The sequence below is a fragment of the Homo sapiens genome, chromosome 7 (assembly GCF_000001405.40).
Source record: "Homo sapiens chromosome 7, GRCh38.p14 Primary Assembly".
Classification (NCBI taxonomy): Eukaryota; Metazoa; Chordata; class Mammalia; order Primates; family Hominidae; genus Homo; species Homo sapiens.
Genome location: NC_000007.14, coordinates 5,176,608 through 5,193,679, shown reverse-complemented (window position 1 = coordinate 5,193,679; position 17,072 = coordinate 5,176,608). Strand labels below are relative to the sequence as shown.

Below are 17,072 nucleotides of genomic sequence, written 5' to 3'. Positions count from 1 at the left end.
CGCTTGAGCCCAGGAACTCAAAGTTGCAGTAAGCTATGATCATTATAACTATGCCACTGCACTTCAAACTGTGCAACAGTGAGACTCCATCTCAAAAACAAAAACCCAAACCCTTGATTTACAGATGAACAAAGAGAGGAGAGCAGTACCTTCCCAGCACAATAAGCATAACCTAGAAGAGACATGGTGGAAGAAAACAACAGGTTTCTCCTGTTGTCTCCACACACTTCATAACATCAATTCTACAAACACAAGACTTGGAAAGTCAAGTCCCTTTCTTCATTCCATCCCTTTTAGACATGGCATTTAAAACAGACATTGCTACATCACTAACTTCCCACAAGCTGTGGTATCCACTGGAAAAATGTAGTCCTTGATATTTCCATTTCAGATTCAAGTGATCCTCTCCCACTTATTAACTGGTTCACTGCAATTTCAAAAAGCCAAAAAAGTCCTCTAACATAAGCCTTCCAAGGTGATACTTTCAGAAACCAGGGTTGGAACTAACCAGACAACAGCGCGACGGCCAAGACCAGCTGCTCTTGATGCCCCTTTCACTTCTCTAGGTAAAAAAACAAAACAAAACAAAAAACAAATGGTAAAAAACAAATAAAACTTATGCACACTTTTAGGATAGGAATCATGAAAAAGTACGACATTGGAAATCATATTACCAGTAAAGAAAGGCAGGACAGTTATAGTTTGGTATGTAACAAATACAAAAAGAATTTAAAAGACAAAAAAAAGGGAAATGACCCTATAACATATATATTCTAGTAAGTGAACTGGCTTCCAAATTTTCTCACTGCATACAGTAAATGTGAGTTCTAGACGGTCATTCTTTCACTTGCTAAAAATTGTGCTCCTCAATAAATTCTGGAGATTAAGAAGGGAGGAAAAGGTATAAGCCATAAAAGCTCTCTCCGGGAACTTCTCTATTTCTTTCAAGTGTAGATTTAAAACAAATTACCGTCATTTTAGCCCAGTCAACTTCTAGTATAATCCTAGCTTACTATTCATTCCAATTTAGGTTTACACTACATCAAGGTCTCTCTGGCAAGTCAAAGTTATGAAATCTCAAAGTAACAGAAATCTCTTGAACTGTAATAACTTCGGGGAGCATGGAGAAGTGGGTAAGTGTGAAAATGTCCAAGTGTGAAAAGGTCCTATTTCAGGCCAGAGTGACACTCTTCTGTGACACAGGGAACATGGCAGTCCAGCTGAAGTAACAGTAAAAGAGAATGCTTTTCTCTATTTGATTTCATTCTGATAGAAATAATTAGTGAAAAACTGAAAGAGTGGCCGACAATGTTTTGGAAACTCTCTAATTTATACAAGGCATAAACCACCCTACTACTACTACCATTTCTTACTGGTCTCAAAATACTGTGGCCTTGGGCTTAAAAACCAAATTAGAATTGGTTTGGGATGTGTCCTTTTCCCTATCTGGATTAACATAGTCTATTCCACTTGAACTGCAACAGGTTGTCCGAATTGTTTGTTGTTCTGGCTTTTGGTCACACAGAACGCTACAGTACTTGGGAGTTTTCATCTTTACACGTTGTTATGCTATTATTTCTAAATTCACTGTCTTCAGAATTCTACTCTGTAAACAGAAAAAAAAACAGCATGGCAGAGCAGAAAGAACATTGGAAGAGAGCTCAGGAGGCGAGATTCCACTCCTGCCCCCGCTCCACTATTAACCAATTCCAAAACCCAGACCAGCTTGGAGCCTTTCGGAAGGATTTCCTCATCTGTAGTTGGATGAGGTGATTTGCCCCTTCCGACTCTCAATACAGTCCCACTGTGCGACTGTCTTCACAGCTTTGGGGAGGTGCTATTGAGTGCCTGCTGTACACCACCCACTGAGTGTTGTCCATTCTACAATTCACTTTTAATTTCCTAAAGAATCTTACCTTCTGCTATGTTAATTCCACTCAGCCAGTAACAACTCAACCAATGACTTAGTAAGATGCCAAATGCCCCACTCCTTCTCTTTCCTCACTTCCTCTTACTCACTTCCAAGATGGCTCTCCTCCCTGCCAACCCCATAACTCACCCTTCTCTCTCCAGAAAGCTCGCTCATCTATTAACCATCCCCACAAGTCCTCCTCCCAGGCAGCATCCAACCCGTATCAGTGGGGACAAACAGCGTTCCGAATGCACGGGCTGGCATTAAGGCCTTCTCTTGCCCTGAGGATGACCCACCCGCTGGAGCTCTGAGACTCCTGGGGCACTGGTCCGTAACGCCTCTCTTGGCTCAGTTTCTCCCTAGCTAGGTCAGATGCCAAGGTTATTGCTAAGTTTGTTACTTGCTGGAGAAGACATCAAAGTTGATGTCCCAAAAAGAACAGGGAGGGCCGCGCACGGTGGCTCACACCTGTAATCCCAGCACTTTGGGAGGCTGAGGTGGGCGGATCACTTGAGGTCAGGAATTTGAGACCAGCCTGACCAACATGGTGAAACCCTGTCTCTACTACAAATACAAAAAAGTTAGCTGGGCACAGTGGCGCGTGCCTGTAGTCTCAGCTACTCGGGAGGCTGAGGCAGGAGAATCGCTTGAACCCAGGAGGCGGAGGTTGCAGTGAGCTGAGATGGCACCACTGCACTCCAGCCTGGGCAACAGAGCAAGACTCTGTCTCAAAACAAAACAAACCCCAAAAAACAAAAACAAACAAAAAAACAGTGAGAAACGAAGAAAAGAAAATCAAGAGAGAGAGAAGGGTCTTAAGACGATGAAAAGACAAGGAGAAGGGCCTGATTCAAAGGAGAGTGAGTGGGAGACGCTGAGCAAGCAGCGGGAAGAGGAGACGAGAGGAGAGGAAGCGACCCACACCCAGCGCTCCACAGGCGGCCAAGACAAGTCAAGCCCCAAAGTTCGGCCCCAACTTTGCGAGAAGTAGTTAAGTCTGAAGCCAGGGGGCCTCCCCGCAAGAGGGTGAAAGCAGCCCCCTCTCCACCACCTCTCCCGCTCCGGGACCGCAGCTCCAGGCCAGCACCCGAGGGTCTCCCTGGAGGGCGCCCCTCCCTGCACGCCCCGGGCCCGCCCCTGGGGACGCCTCTGCGCGCCTTGGCCCGCGGGGAGGCCGAGCCTGCGACGCCGCCGAGCTTGGCAGCGAGGCCCTCCCCCTAGCCCGGGTCCGACCCTGGCCTCACCCCGACTCCGACCCCCGACCCCGGCCTTACGTGTTGTCCTGGTTGAAGTTGGCGAAGAGCAGCTGGCCGGCGCCGGCCTCCCCGCTCTGGCTCGCCAGGTTCATGGCTGGGCGCGCGGCGAGTGGGCCCGGCCGGGGAGGGCGCGCGCGCGAGGGCGGGTCAGGCTGCACTCAGGGTCGGCGCCGGGCCCCGCTCGCCGCCTCGGTCGCCGCCACTCGCCACCCTGGGATCAACCGCCGCCTCATCCCGTCCCCGCTCTTGTTTATGCTCCAGAGCCGGGGCACCCGGTACGCCTGCGCGGCCCCGCCCCCGCGACGCACGGCCTCGAGCGGCGCAGTCGCACTGCGGAGGCCCCGCCCTCTCACCGCCTGCCTGGGCTTGGGTTCCGGTGGATCACGCAGGCGTGGGGACGCGTCGGGGCGCGCTGGGCCTGGCTGAGGGCGAGCGGCGGCCGCTCATGCGCATGGGGCAGAGCTGGCGGGAGTCTGTTTTCTGCGTACCCTCCTCTTAATAACACTCAATGGCCAGGCACGGTGGCCTGTAATCCCAGCATTTTGGGAGGCCAAGGCGGGCGGATCACCTAAGATCAGAAGTTCGAGACCAGCCTGGCCAACATGGTGAAACCCCGTCTCTACTAAAAATACAAGAAAAATTAGCCGGGCTTGGTGGTGTACGCCTGTAATCCCAGCTACTCGGGAGGCTGAGGCAAGATAATCGCTTGAACCCAGGAGGCGGAGATTGCAGTGAGCCGAGATCATGCCACTGCAATCCATCCAGCCTGGGCCATAGAGCGAGACTCTGTCTCAAACAACAACAAAAACAAAAACAAAAACACCCCAATGGGCCCTCCATGTGCCAATCACTGTGCTGAATGCTTCTGCGCATTACCTTATCATTTTATTATTTTGAAAGACAAGGTCTCGCTCTGTTGCCTAGGCTGGAGTGCAGAGGCTCAATCACAGCTCACTGCAGCCTCAAACTCAGGCTCAAGCGATCCTCCCACCTTAGCCTCCCAAGTAGCTGGGACCACAAATGCATGCCACCACACCCTGCTAACTTTTAAGTTTTTTGTAGAGATGGGGTGGGGGCGGGGGGGGTCTTACTCTGTTGCCTAGGCTGGTCTCGCACTCCTGGCCTCAAGTGATGCTCCCACCTCGGCCTCCCAAAGTACTGGGATTACAGATGTGAGCCACTGTGCCCAGCCACATTATCTTATTTGATGCCCATTACAATCCTAAGTAGAGAATAGTATATCTTAATTTTACAGATTTGAAAATCGAGGCTCAGAAATAATTATTAGCCAAGTGCTAGATCTGAGACTGGAAACGTCCTGTTTCTCCAAGGTCCATACTGTCTGGGTTCCTGGGACAGAATCGTCCCTTAAATTTATTCATTCATTCAACAGTATTTAGGACGCACCTCTCATGTGAACTAAATAGGCCTCCTCCTTTCCCTCAGAGAAGTTATAATGGGGAGATATTTAAATATAAATAGAAGGCCAGGTGTGGTGGCTCTTACCTGTAATCCCAGCACTTTGGGAGGCTGAGGCGGGTGGATCACCTGAGGTCGGGAGTTCCAGACCAGCCTGGCTAACATGGTGAAACCCCGTCTCTACTAAAAGTACAAAAGTTAGCTGGGTATGGTGGTGGGCACCTGTAATCTCAGCTACTAGGGAGGCTGAGGTGGGAGAATTGCTTGAGCCCCACAGGTGGAGGTTGCAGTGAGCCGAGATTGCACCTCTGCACTCCAGCCTGGACGGACGACAGAGTGAGACTCCATCTAAAAAGTAAAATAAAATAGGCTGGGCATGGTGACTCACGCCTGTAACCCCAGCACTTTGGGAGGCTGAGGCAGGTGGATCACCTGAGGTCATGAGTTTGAGACTAGCCTGCCCAACATGGTGAAACCCTGTCTCTAGGAAAAATGTAAAATATTAGCCAGTTGTGGTGGCACGGCCCTGTAATCCCAGCTACTCAGGAGACTGAGATGGGAGAATTGCTTGAACCCAGGAGGTGAAGGCTGCAGTGAGCCGAGATCATGCCACTGCACTCCAGCCTGGGCGACACAGTGAGACTCCATCTCAAAAAATAAAATAAATAAATATAATTAGAAACTCGGGGGTACAATGAGCGAATATATATATATATATATATATATATATATTTTTTTTTTTTTTTTTTTTTTTTTTGAGACGGAATTTCACCTTCTTGACCAGGCTGGAGTGCGATGGCGCAATCTCGGCTCACTGCAACGTCCACCTTCCGGGTTCAAGTGATTCTCCTGCCTCAGCCTCCCGAGTAGCTGGGATTACAGGTGTGCACCATCACGCCCAGTTAATTTTTGTATGTTTAGTGGAGACGGGATTTCTCCATGTTGGTCACGCTGGTCTCGAACTTCCGACCTCAGGTAATCTGCCTGCCTCGGCCTCCCAAAGTGCTGGGATTACAGGCATGAGCCACTGTGCCTGACCATGAATGCATATATAGAAGTCACACAACCTATATTTAAGGGACAGGGACTGTGCTATTGAGAAGGCTCCTGGAAGAGATGAGACCTGAAGTTTGAGTAACTAGTCTAAGGGCATGAAAACACTCTATATGGGAAGGGCTTGAGGATGAGGGTGTGACCTGTCCAAAGAACTCTATGTTCAGAGTGGAAAGGCAGACACAAGGCAAGATTTGGCAGGAGAGACAGGAGGTGGCCAGATCAAGCTGCGTATTGTTACGCAAGGAACTGACCATTATCTGATTATTGTCCATAAGAGCAATGGTCTGCCGTTAAAGACAGGCAGGAAAGTGGAACGATCTAATGAGTGCTTACAGAAGTTAATTCTAATTATAGGGTCAAGAACGCATTGGAAATCATTGAGGAAAGGATGGTCTTTTCAATAAAAGGAATAAGTACCCCTACCTCACACCATATTCAAAAATTAATTTGAGATGGATTACAGTCCTAGATGTGAGAGGTAAAAACAATAGAATTTCTAGAAGGAAACGAGAATGCCTTCATGATTTTGGGATAAACAAAGTAGTCTAAACAGGTACTTTAAAGCGGATGTGTTGGCTCATGCCTGTAATCCCAACACTTTGGGAGGCTGAGGCAGGCGGATTGCTTGAGTCCAGGAGTTTGAAACCAGACTAGGCAACATGGGGAAACCCGGTCTCTACAAAAATACAAAAATTAGCTGGGCGTGGTGGTGTGCGCCTGTGGTCCCAGCTCCTTCAGAGGCTAAGGCGGGAGGATGGCTTGAGCCTGGGAGTTCAAGCCTGCAGTGAGCTATGACCGCGCCACTACACTCCAGCCTGGGTGACAGAGCAAGATCCTGTCTCAAAACAAAACAAGTTCTTTAAAAAGTAGTAACCACAGGCCGGGCGCGGTGGCTCACGCCTGTAATCCAGCATGTTGGGAGGCCAAGACAGGCAGATCACGAGGTCAGGAGATCGAGACCATCCTGGCTGACATGGCGAAACCCCGTCTCTACTAAAAATACAAAAAATTAGCCGGGTGTGGTGGCTGGTGCCTGTGGTCCCAGCTACTCAAGAGGCTGAGGCAGGAGAATGGCGTGAACCCGGGAGGTGGAGGTTGCAGTGAGCTGAGATCGCACCACTGCACTCCAGCCTGGGTGACAGAGCGAGACTCTGTCTCAAAAGAAAAAAAGTAGTAACCACAAAATGAGAGATTGGCCTTCATCAACATTGAGAAGAATGGGCTATTTTCAAGAGACCATTAAGAGAGGAAGAAAAGGCAAGATTTAGAGATACATATATTTATTTTATATATATATATATATATATATATATATATATATATTTTTTTTTTTTTTTTTTTTTTTTTTTTTTTTGAGACGGAGTCTTGCTCTGTCACCAGGCTGGAGTGCAGTGGTGCGATCTCGGCTCACTGCAACCTCTGCTTCTAGGGTTCAAGCGATTCCCCTGCCTCAGCCTCCCAAGTAGCTGGGACTACAGGCGTGTGCCACCACACCAGGCTAATTTTTTGTGTTTTAGTAGAGATGAGGTTTCACTGTGTTGGCCAGGATGATCTCAATCTCCTGATCTCGTGATCTGCCCGCCTTGGCCTCCCAAAGTGCTGGGATTACAGGCATGAGCCACCACGCCCGGCCTGCAATATATATATTTTTGACAAAGGAATTATACCCAGAACTTCTGCGCATCAATAAGAAAAATATAGACAGCTTTTTTTTTTTTAACTGGGCAAAATACTTGAACACAAGCACTTCACAAAAGAGGATATCAGAATGTTAATGAGCACCTGAAAAGGTGGTCATCGTTAATACTCATTAAGAAAATGTAAATTAAGGCTGGGTGTGGTGGCTCACACCTGTAATCCCAGCACTTTGGGAGGCCAAGGTGGGAGGATCACCTGAGGTCAGGAGTTCGAGACCAGCCTGGCCAACACGGTGAAACCCTGTCTCTACTAAAAATACAAAAATGAGCTGGGCCTGGTGGTAGGCACCTATAGTCCTAGCTACTCGGGAGGCTGAGGCAGGAGAATCGCTTTAACCTGGGAGGCAGAGGTTGGAGTGAGCCGGGATCACACCACTGCACTCCAGCCTGGATGACAGAGCAAGACTCCATCTCAAAAAAACCAAACAAACAAACAAAAAAAGAAAATGCAAATTAAGGGCAAATGAGGTATTACTAAGCATCCACCAAATTGGCTAAAATTAAAGCAACTGACAATCCCAAGTGTGGATGACCATAGAGCGCAATTGGAACTCTCATACACTGTGGATGGAGTCTCGCTCTGTTGCCCAGGCTGGAGTGCAGTGGCACGATCTCGGCTCACTGCAAGATGAAAGTCTAAATTGTTTCAACCACTTTGGAAAACTTGGGCACTACCTACTAAAGTTTTGTTTTTGTTTTTTGTTTTTTTGTTTTTTAAATGGAGTTTTGCTCTTGTCGCCCAGGCTGGAGTGCAGTGGCACAATCTTGGCTCACTGTAACCTCAGCCTCCACCTCTTAGGTTCCAGCGATTCTCCTGTCTCAGCCACCCAAGTAGCTGGCATTACAGGCACCCACCACCACGCCCGGCTAATTTTGGTATTTTTAGTAGAGACGGGGTTTCACCTTGTTGGTCAGGCTGGTCTTGAATTCCTGACCTCAGGCCACCACGCACGGTCTATTTACTAAAATTAAACATATATATACCTTTTGACTCGGCCAAATGCACTGTATATGCATTTCTAGGTGCATATACAGTAGAATTAGTGCATATTTTCACTAAAAGACATAAATAAGAATGTTCATAGCTACTGCATTCATAATAAAGTGCTGAGATTACAGGCGTGATTCACCGCACCTGGCTTGGTAATGTACTTTCATACTTTCTTTAATAAGTCTGCCAATCACAGCACTTTGGGAGGCCGAGGAGGGCGGATCATGAGGTCAGGAGATCAAAACCATCTTGGCTAACATGGTGAAACCCCGTCTCTACTAAAAATACAAAAAATTAGCCAGGCGCGGTGGCGGGCGCCTGTGGTCCCAGCTACTTGGGAGGCTGAGGCAGGAGAATCGTTTGAACCCAGGAGGCGGAGGTTGTGGTGAGCCGAGATTGCACCACTGCACTCTAGCCTGGGCTACAGAGCAAGACTCCGTCTCAAAAAAAAAAAAAAAGTCTCTTTCTTTACTTACCACTGTATAGTCATGTCTCACCCGCCATGGTTATTGGTGAATGAAGATACATAAAGAGGTGCCTGAGTGAATCCTCGGGGTTCTAGACATAGTTCTCCTCGATCTCATTCTGAGCAGCAACCCAACTTTCCCTTGCTCATAGCAATCTATGATCCCAGCTGGAACAGAAACTCCTTCTCTCTCTATTGGTTCAGTGAATGAAGATCCCAAAATGACCGCGAAGTAGACTCAGTTTCCAATGGACCAGAACCACAACTCTGTTCCCTGGGATAAAACAGGGAATTCCATGGCCTGGGTGAGGTGGCTCACACCTGTAATCCCAGCACTTTGGGAGGCTGAGGCGGGTGGATCACCTGAGGTCAGTAGTTCGAGACCAGCCTGGCCAACATGGAGAAACCTCATCTCTACTAAAAATACAAAATTATCCGGGCGTGGTGGCACCTGCCTGTAATCCCAGCTACTCGGGAGGCCGAGGCAGGAGAATCACTTCAACCCGGGAGGCGGACGTTGTGGTGAGCCAAGATCACACCATTGCACTCCAGCCTGGGCAACAAGAGCGAAACTCCATCTCAAAAAAAAAAAAAAAAAAAGCGAATTCCTTGTGTGTTAGGATCTCAAACTCCAGTAAGCCCTGAGTTGGGTAGATGAAAACAAAAGTTCCTTAAGTGAGTTATTAGATGTTATATGCAAGGAAAAACTACCACCTCCACTCTTGGTTTGCAGGTGTGTACTGCATATTATTGAACAACAGCCCAGTCTTACAGGATGTGGTCTCTTAGCTGCAGTCATGACTGAGCCTTCCATAGGCTTGCTTCAGTAGCCTTCTGTAGGCCACTCTACCATCCATCTGGGTAATAGGGCACATGGTGAATCCCAAACGCATGAGCCCATTGTCAAAATTCCTTCATCTTAGTGTAAAGCTCTCAGTCAAAAGAGATGTGAATGGCTGGGCGCGGTGGCTCACGCCTGTAATCCCAGCACTTTGGGAGGTCGAGGCAGGTGGATCACTTGAGGTCAGGAGTTCGATACCAGCCTGGACAACATGGTGAAACCCCATCTCTACTAAAAATGCAAAACTTAGCCGGGCATGGTGGAGGGTGCTTGTCATCCCAGCTACTCAGGAGGTTGAGGCAGAAGAATCGCTTGAACCCAGGAGGCAGATTGCAGTGAGCTGAGACTACACCACTGCACTCCAGCTTGGGTGACAGAATGAGACTCTGTCTCAAAAAAAAAAAAAAAAAAGAAAAAAAGAAAGAAAAAAAAAGACTGGGAGGATCAATTTCTATGTTTATTCAAAGAAACCATAAACATCAGTTCCATGGGGACAATTGGGCTGGTTTCACCTCAAGAACTAAACCCTGGTCCTCCTTTTCTGGTGGCCAGGATGGGCTGGAGCTGAGAGCCGCTGCTCACTCATCCAGCTTTTGTTTAATTGCTCTATCATCTGCGTGGTATTGGGAACTGCCAGAAGGGTGTTGTTGGAGAGCAGGCTGGGTTTCTGCCAGGGACGTGACCTGCGTGTGACGCAGGAATGCACCTGCATGTCTTGGCTCACCTGGAGACAGCATCAGCTGACATTCCTGATGGCATGGAGAGCAGGAAGGATGCTCAGGGCCTTCTATCATCACTTTGGGATTCCTCCAGGTGACCGGCCCGATGCCCAGCTCAGAGAGAAGAGACTTTCTGCTTTCAACCTGAGAGCAGAACCCTCATCTGCAGGTGCGTGGAGTCTCCTTATTTGCTAGCTTCGGAGCTGAGCAATCCTCCCACAGATCAGTGCCTAAATAAACTTGTGGGATAAACAGCTGGTGTGGAGGAGGGAACTAAGGACTGGAGTGAAAGGGTACATGAGTGGAGGAAGGGCTGGACATGCAGAACACTCATATCAAACAGGTGTGTTGGGGTTCAAACCCTGGCTTGGTTCTCCGGGGATATATGACTTTACATCAGTCACTTAACCTCGCTGAGCATTAGTTTCTTTAAAAAGAAGGGCTATGGCTGGGCGCGGTGGTTCATGCCTGTAATCCCAGCACTTTGGGAGGCCGAGGTGGGTGGTTCACCTGATGTCAGGAGTTCAAGACCAACATGGTAAAACCCCATCTCTACTAAAAATACAAAAATTGGCCGGGCGTGGTGGCTAATGCCTGTAATCCCAGCTACTCAGGAGGCTGAGGCAGGAGAATAGCTTGAACCCGGGAGGCGGAGGTTGCAGTGAGCTGAGATCACACCACTGCACTCTAGCCTGGGCGACAGAGCGAGACTCCATCTCAAACAAAAACAAAAAAAAAACACAGAAGAGCTTGAATATCTCACAACCTAAGAATGCTATTAAGATAGAGTGGGGAGCCAGGCACGGTGGCTCATGCCTGTAATCGCAGCACTTTGGTAGGCTGCGGTGGTTGGATCACTTGAGGTCAGGTGTTCAAGACAAGCCTGGCCAACATGGCAAAACCCCGTCTCTACTAAAAATACAAAAAGATAGCTGGGCATGGTGGCTTGCACCTATAATCCTATCTACTCGGAAGGCTGAGGCAGGAGAATCGCTTGAACCCGGGAGGCAGAGGTTGCAGTGAGCCGGAGATCGCGCCATTGCATTCCAGCCTGGGCAACAGAGTGAAACTACATCTCAAAAAAAAAAAAAAAAAAAAAAGGCCAGGCCAGACGCGGTGGCTTATGCCTGTAATCCCAGCACTTTGGGAGGCTGAGGCGGGCGGATCATGAGTTCAGGAGATCGAGACCATCCTGGCTAACACGATGAAACCCCGTCTCTAGTAAAAAATACAAAAAATTAGCCGGGCATGGTGGCGGGCACCTGTAGTCCCAACTACTTGGGAGGCTGAGGCAGGAGAATGGTGTGAACCCTGGAGGCGGAGCTTGCAGTGAGTAGAGATCGCGCCACTGCACTCCAGGCTGGGCGACAGAGCGAGACTCCATCTCAAAAAAAAAAAAAAAAAAAAAAAAGAAAGGTACAAAATCTCAGTTAGAAAGAAGGAATGCTTTTTTGAGAGCTATTGCACAGCCTGGTGAATATAACTAACAACACTGTATAGTACATTTCAAAACTGTTAAGAGGTCAGGCGTGGTGGCTCACGCCTGTAATCCCATCACTTTGGAAGGCCAAGGTGGGAGGATCACTTGAGCTCTGGAGTTAGAGACCAGCCTTGGCAATATAGTGGGGCTCCATCTCGGCAAAACAATTTTAAAAATTAGCCAGCCATGGTGGCGCACAGCTGTAGTCCCAGCTACTTGAGAGGCTGAGGTGGGAAAATTTCTTGAGCCTGGGACGTTGAGGCTGCAGTGAGCCGTGATCATGCCACTACACTCCAGCCTAGGTGACAGAGTGAGACCCTGTCTCTAAAACAAAAAAAAAATTGTTAAGAAAATAAATTTTAAATGTTCTCACCACCAAAAAATATAAATATTTGAGGTGATGGATGTATTAATTAGCTTGATTTAATTATTCCACGTTGTATTCATAAGCCATAACATCACGTTGTACACCATAAATACACACATGGTCAATTTACAATAAAATTTTAAAAATGTAAAGAATGGCAATGGAAACAAAAAATATTGAATGGATAAAAGGAAATGCTTCCAGAATAGTGGAGCAAGAATCTCCAAAAACTCACTCCTCCATATAAGCAAAGAGAATGCTGACAAAAATGGTCAAAATCAATTTCTTCAGACCTGGAAATTATCTAAAGGCTTGCAACAATTTGAAGAGTATATGTTCAAGTAAGAGGGCTGAATCTCAGTATAAACACTGATTTTGTGCCATTTTAATTTGCTCTAAAAGCATCCCTCTCTTCCAGATCCATGAAAATAGGCTGGCTTTTAACCATGGTAGCTGTGAAAACAAGCATCTTGCCAGTCACTGGAAGAGGCAGGCTGGGCTTGGAGCTCCCTAAAAGCCCCATCCCCCAAAAACTGTCACTATTTGACTTGTCTGCCAGTTTGCTGAAAAATGCTATTCTCAAAGCTTGTCTTTATTTGATCCAAGAGTTTGCCAGTATCTGTGCAAATAGCCCTATGCCCAAGGCATTTGTCCAAAACAATCAGTGGCAATTGTTTAACATTTCAACTACCTGATGTGGTGTAACCGTGGCAAGGCAAGGGTTAAAAAGAAAAGAAGAACAAGTTTTCCTCTGCTTAGCAGCTCACTTCAAGGACAGTTACAAGATAACACTGTCTGAAAAGTTGAAGCCAAAGGAATGGGCTCCAGACATCCATACCCGGCTAATTTTTTGTATTTTTAGTAGAGATGGGGTTTCACCATGTTAGCCAGGATGGTCTCGATCTCCTGACCTTGTGATCCCCCGCCTCGGCCTCCCAAAGTGCTGGGATTACAGGCGTGAGCCACTGCGCCTGGCTTGATCAAAAATTTTTTAAAGGAATAACTGGGAAAAGAGATGCCAATAAGATACTTTAAAAAACCCCTGCTGTGTTTCTGAGAATCTAGTGGGCTACGTGCATGTACAGGGCTGTGCGCACACCCAGGAAGACCTGAGAAGGTCCTAAACTCTCACCTCTGGCTGACCTTGAGTGTCTGCACAAGAGGAAATGAAGGCTAAGGCAGAGTTGTAAGTTGCTTGCTGGAGTATTGAAAACATGCCTCAACACACACAGAGTTTGTCAGCAAATGCTGGGAAACTTAATGGTCTAAAGCATTTAAAAAGATCACTTTTTAATTTTTTAAATCATTTTTTTAAAAATATGGAATAATTCACGAATTTGTGTGTAATCCTGGCACAAGGGTCAGATAATCTTCTCTGTATCATTTTAATTTTAGTGTATGTGCTGCCAAAGCAAGTAGACGTCTAGGAATATCTCTGTCCAGTTATTAGCTGACCACTGAGATAACTAAGCAAAGTCTTCAGTGGTTGCACAGAACAAAGAACACAGATTTTACAAAGTCCAGAAAAGTCACTAAACAAACACCAGCAGCAACAAGCAACAACAACAGCAAACCCCAGGGAGTGGGGAGAGAGGAATCTGATTTCCAGAAGTGCCATATTGTTTAATTTAATTTTTTTTTCTTTTGTAGAGACAGAGTCTTCCTATGTTGCCCAGGCTGATCTCAAAGTCCTGGGCTCAAGTGATCCTCCTGTCTTAGCCTTTCCAAGTGCTGGGATTACAGGCGTGATCCACTGCACCCGGCCATAAACTATGATGTTTGCCAGGCTAGGTGTATTGAATGCATTTTGACTTATGATATTTTCAACTTAAAATGGGTTTATCAAGACATAATTCTATTGTAAGTTGAGGAATATCTGTATATGCATAATGCAAATCCCAGAAGGATAGGATTGAGAAGAGGGGGAGAAAGAATATTAGAAGAAATAGAGGGTGAAAACTTCCTGAATTCGATTTAAAAAATATTAATCTAAATATTCAAAAAGTTTGATGAACTCCAAGTACGATAAACTAAAAAACGATTAACAGCTAGGCACATGATAGTCAAAGTGTTGAAAGTCAAAGAGAATCGTGAAAGTAGCAAGAAAAGTGTAACTCATCACATACAAGGGACATTCAATAAAATTAACAGTTGAGTTGCTATCAGAAAAAATGGTCACGATCCAGTTTTCCCAGCACCATTTGTTTGCAAAGGCAATTCTTTCCCCCTCAAATTGAAACACTTGTCAAAAACATAAGGGCTTACTTCTGGACTCTTGGTTCTATTCTATTGATCTAATGTCTATCCTTATGCCAGTACCACACTGTCTTGATTACCGTAGCTTTGCAGTAAGTTTTAAAACTGGGAAGTGTGAGACCTCTAACTTGGTACGTCTGTCTTCCAGATTGTTTTAGCTATTCCAGGTTTCTTAATTTTCATAGGAATTTTAGGACCAGCTTGTCAGTTTTTGCAAAACTACAGTCAGAATTTTGATAGGAATTGTGTTGACCCTGTAAGTAATTTTTGAGACAATTGGTATCTTAATATTAAGTCCTGGGCATGGTGGCACATGCCTGTAGTGCCAGGTACTTTGGAGGCTGAAATAGAAGGATGATTTGAGTTCAGATACTCAAGTCCATCCTGGGCAACATAGTAAGAACTTCATCTCTAAAAACAAAAACAAAACCCACAACATTAAGTCTTCTGATCCATGAATATGGGACGTATTCCCATTTATTTAGGTCTGTGATTTCTTTCAACAATGTTTTGTGGTTTTAAATATACAAGTCTTGCAGTTTATTTGTTTATTTATTTGAGATGGAGTCTCTCTCTGTCCCCAGGCTGGAGTGCAGTGATGCAATCTCAGCTCACTGCAACCTCCGCCTCCGGGGTTCAAGCCATTCTCATGCCTCAGCTTCCTGAGTAGCTGGGACTATAGGCTCACGCCACCATTCCCAGTTAATTTTTTTGTGTTTTTAGTAGAGATGGGGTTTCGTCATGTTGCCCAGGCTGTTGTTGAACTCCTGACCTCAAGTGATCCACCCACCTCGGCCTCCCAAAGTGCTAGGATTACAGGCATGAGCCACTGTGCCCAGCCAATCCTATTTCTTTGCATGTCTCATAATTATTTCTTGAAAGCTGGATTTTTTTAAAAATTATTATTATTATTATCATTATTTGAGACAGAGTCTTGCTCTGTCGCCCAGGCTGGATTGCAGTGGCGTGATCTTGGCTCACTGCAAGCTCTGCCTCCTGGGTTCATGCCATTCTCCTGCCTCAGCCTCCCGAGAGCTGGGACCACAGGTGCCTGCCACCACACCTGGCTGATTTTTTGTATTTTTAGTAGAGACGGGGTTTCACCGTGTTAGCCAGGATGGTCTCAATCTCCTGACCTCGTGATCTGCCCGCCTTGGCCTCCCAACGTGCTGGGATTACAGGCGTGAGCTGCCACGCCCGGCCAAAAACTGGACGTTTTAGATAATGTATTTTAGCAACTCTGACACTTGATTCCCCCAACTCCAGTCAGGGGTTGTGGTTACTGTTGTTTGCTAGGTGATGTATTACTTTGTGACTGGGCTGAACAAGTTTCACCACTACGATCCTCATCTCACACTATGCAGACTCAGATGTCCCTGCTCAGATTTTTTCTTCCTGTTTTTACCTTTTAACTTGGCTACCTAGGGGTCGCCCCTGGGTCAGCATAAGCCACTTAATGGTTAAAGATTGTGCTTGGCCAGGCACGGTGGCTCATGTCTGTAATCCCAGCACTTTGGGAGGCCGAGGCAGGAGGAGCACTTGAGCCCAGGAATTCAAGACGGGCCTGGGCAACACAGCGAGACCCCATCTCTACAAAAAATAAAACAAATTAGCCAGTCATGGTGGTGCATGCCTGTAGTCCCAGCTACTCAGGAGACTGAGGTGGGAGGATTGCTTGGGCCCAGGAGTTCAAGGCTGCAGTGAGCCATGATCATGCCACTCCATTCCAGCAGCCTGAGTGACAGAGTGACACCTTGTCTCTCTCTCAAAAAAAAGTTGTGTTTAAGCCCCTTGGCCAGTTAGATTTTTGCCCTTTCCCACTGGACGTGTGTGTGGCTTGGAGGCTGCTATCACCATTCAGAGAATTTCCCCTTTTGCCCTGGTCAGTCAGGAACTGGTAGCTTGGCATTCTTCCTGTGATTTCTCCCGAGAAGGCGCAGCTTTGGGCAGGCAGCCTTCCAGATGGCCGGGGATGGCTCTGACGTCATCTTTAAGCCTGGCTTCCTAGGAGTCACCGCTGTGCCAGAGCGGCTTATCGTTTGTTCCGTGCTGGCCACAGCTTATGCTAAGCCCCTGGTACCTGTGACAATGGGTCTGGGTGCGTGTGGGGAATGTTTTGGGTCTACTCCAGGTGTTAATCTGATTGCTTCGAGTGGGTGCTGCCAAGCACAGGTCCACAGAATTCCTGACCACCTCCCCCCAGTTTGTCTATGATCCCGTGGAGATATTCTTGGCTCTCTCTTTCTCTCGTTCTCTCTCTCTCTTTTTCTTTTTTTTGGAGACAGAGTCTCGCTCTGTTGCCCAGGCTGGAGCGCAGTGGTGCGATCTTAGCTCACTGCAACCTCTACCTCCCATGTTCAAACGATTCTCCTGCCTCAGCCTCCGGAGTAGCTGGGACTACAGGTGCATGCTGCCACTCCCAGCTAATTTTTGTAGTTTTAGTAGAGATGAGGTTTCACCACGTTGGCCAGGGTGGTCTTGAACTCCTGACCTCAGGTGATCCGCCTGCCTTAGCTTCCCAAAGTGCTGAGATTATAGATGTGAGCCAATGTGCCTGGTCTTAAGTTTCTTTATAATCAATGGTCTCTTCAGTGCACTTTTTTTTTTTTCGA

General features: G+C 47.0%; 1 protein-coding gene and 1 pseudogene across 6 annotated transcripts in view, besides 4 other annotated features; both read right to left on the bottom strand.

The window, feature by feature from the left end:
* WIPI2 (WD repeat domain, phosphoinositide interacting 2) overlaps nt 1-3,447 on the bottom strand; it is a 43,623-nt gene extending 40,176 nt beyond the window's left edge. For 3 of the 6 annotated variants that reach the window (XM_006715685.2, NM_016003.4, NM_001033519.2), the window contains exon 1: nt 3,187-3,447. Coding sequence is in view for 4 of the 6 variants with exons in the window: in NM_016003.4 (NP_057087.2) it covers nt 3,187-3,260 (74 nt within the window). In the remaining 2 variants the exon portion in view is untranslated. Of the gene's footprint in view, nt 1-334; nt 563-3,186 lie in introns of all 6 variants that reach the window. The other 3 variants (NM_015610.4, NM_001033518.2, NM_001278299.2) reach the window with 2 other exon arrangements.
* Nucleotides 2,953-3,002: a silencer, noted in NCBI's record as "silent region_17910". NCBI's record gives its function as "represses an Ori minimal core promoter by ATAC-STARR-seq in GM12878 lymphoblastoid cells {active_cell/tissue: GM12878}" and the evidence as "EXISTENCE:reporter gene assay evidence [ECO:0000049][PMID:35858748]".
* Nucleotides 3,013-3,662: a silencer, noted in NCBI's record as "silent region_17909". NCBI's record gives its function as "represses an Ori minimal core promoter by ATAC-STARR-seq in GM12878 lymphoblastoid cells {active_cell/tissue: GM12878}" and the evidence as "EXISTENCE:reporter gene assay evidence [ECO:0000049][PMID:35858748]".
* Nucleotides 6,336-6,465: a silencer, noted in NCBI's record as "silent region_17908". NCBI's record gives its function as "represses an Ori minimal core promoter by ATAC-STARR-seq in GM12878 lymphoblastoid cells {active_cell/tissue: GM12878}" and the evidence as "EXISTENCE:reporter gene assay evidence [ECO:0000049][PMID:35858748]".
* Nucleotides 10,475-10,675: a silencer, noted in NCBI's record as "peak6354 fragment used in MPRA reporter construct". NCBI's record gives its function as "represses an SCP1 promoter by STARR-seq MPRAs in K562 erythroleukemia cells {active_cell/tissue: K562}" and the evidence as "EXISTENCE:reporter gene assay evidence [ECO:0000049][PMID:32103011]".
* On the bottom strand, nt 13,518-13,619 carry RNU6-215P (RNA, U6 small nuclear 215, pseudogene; annotated as a pseudogene).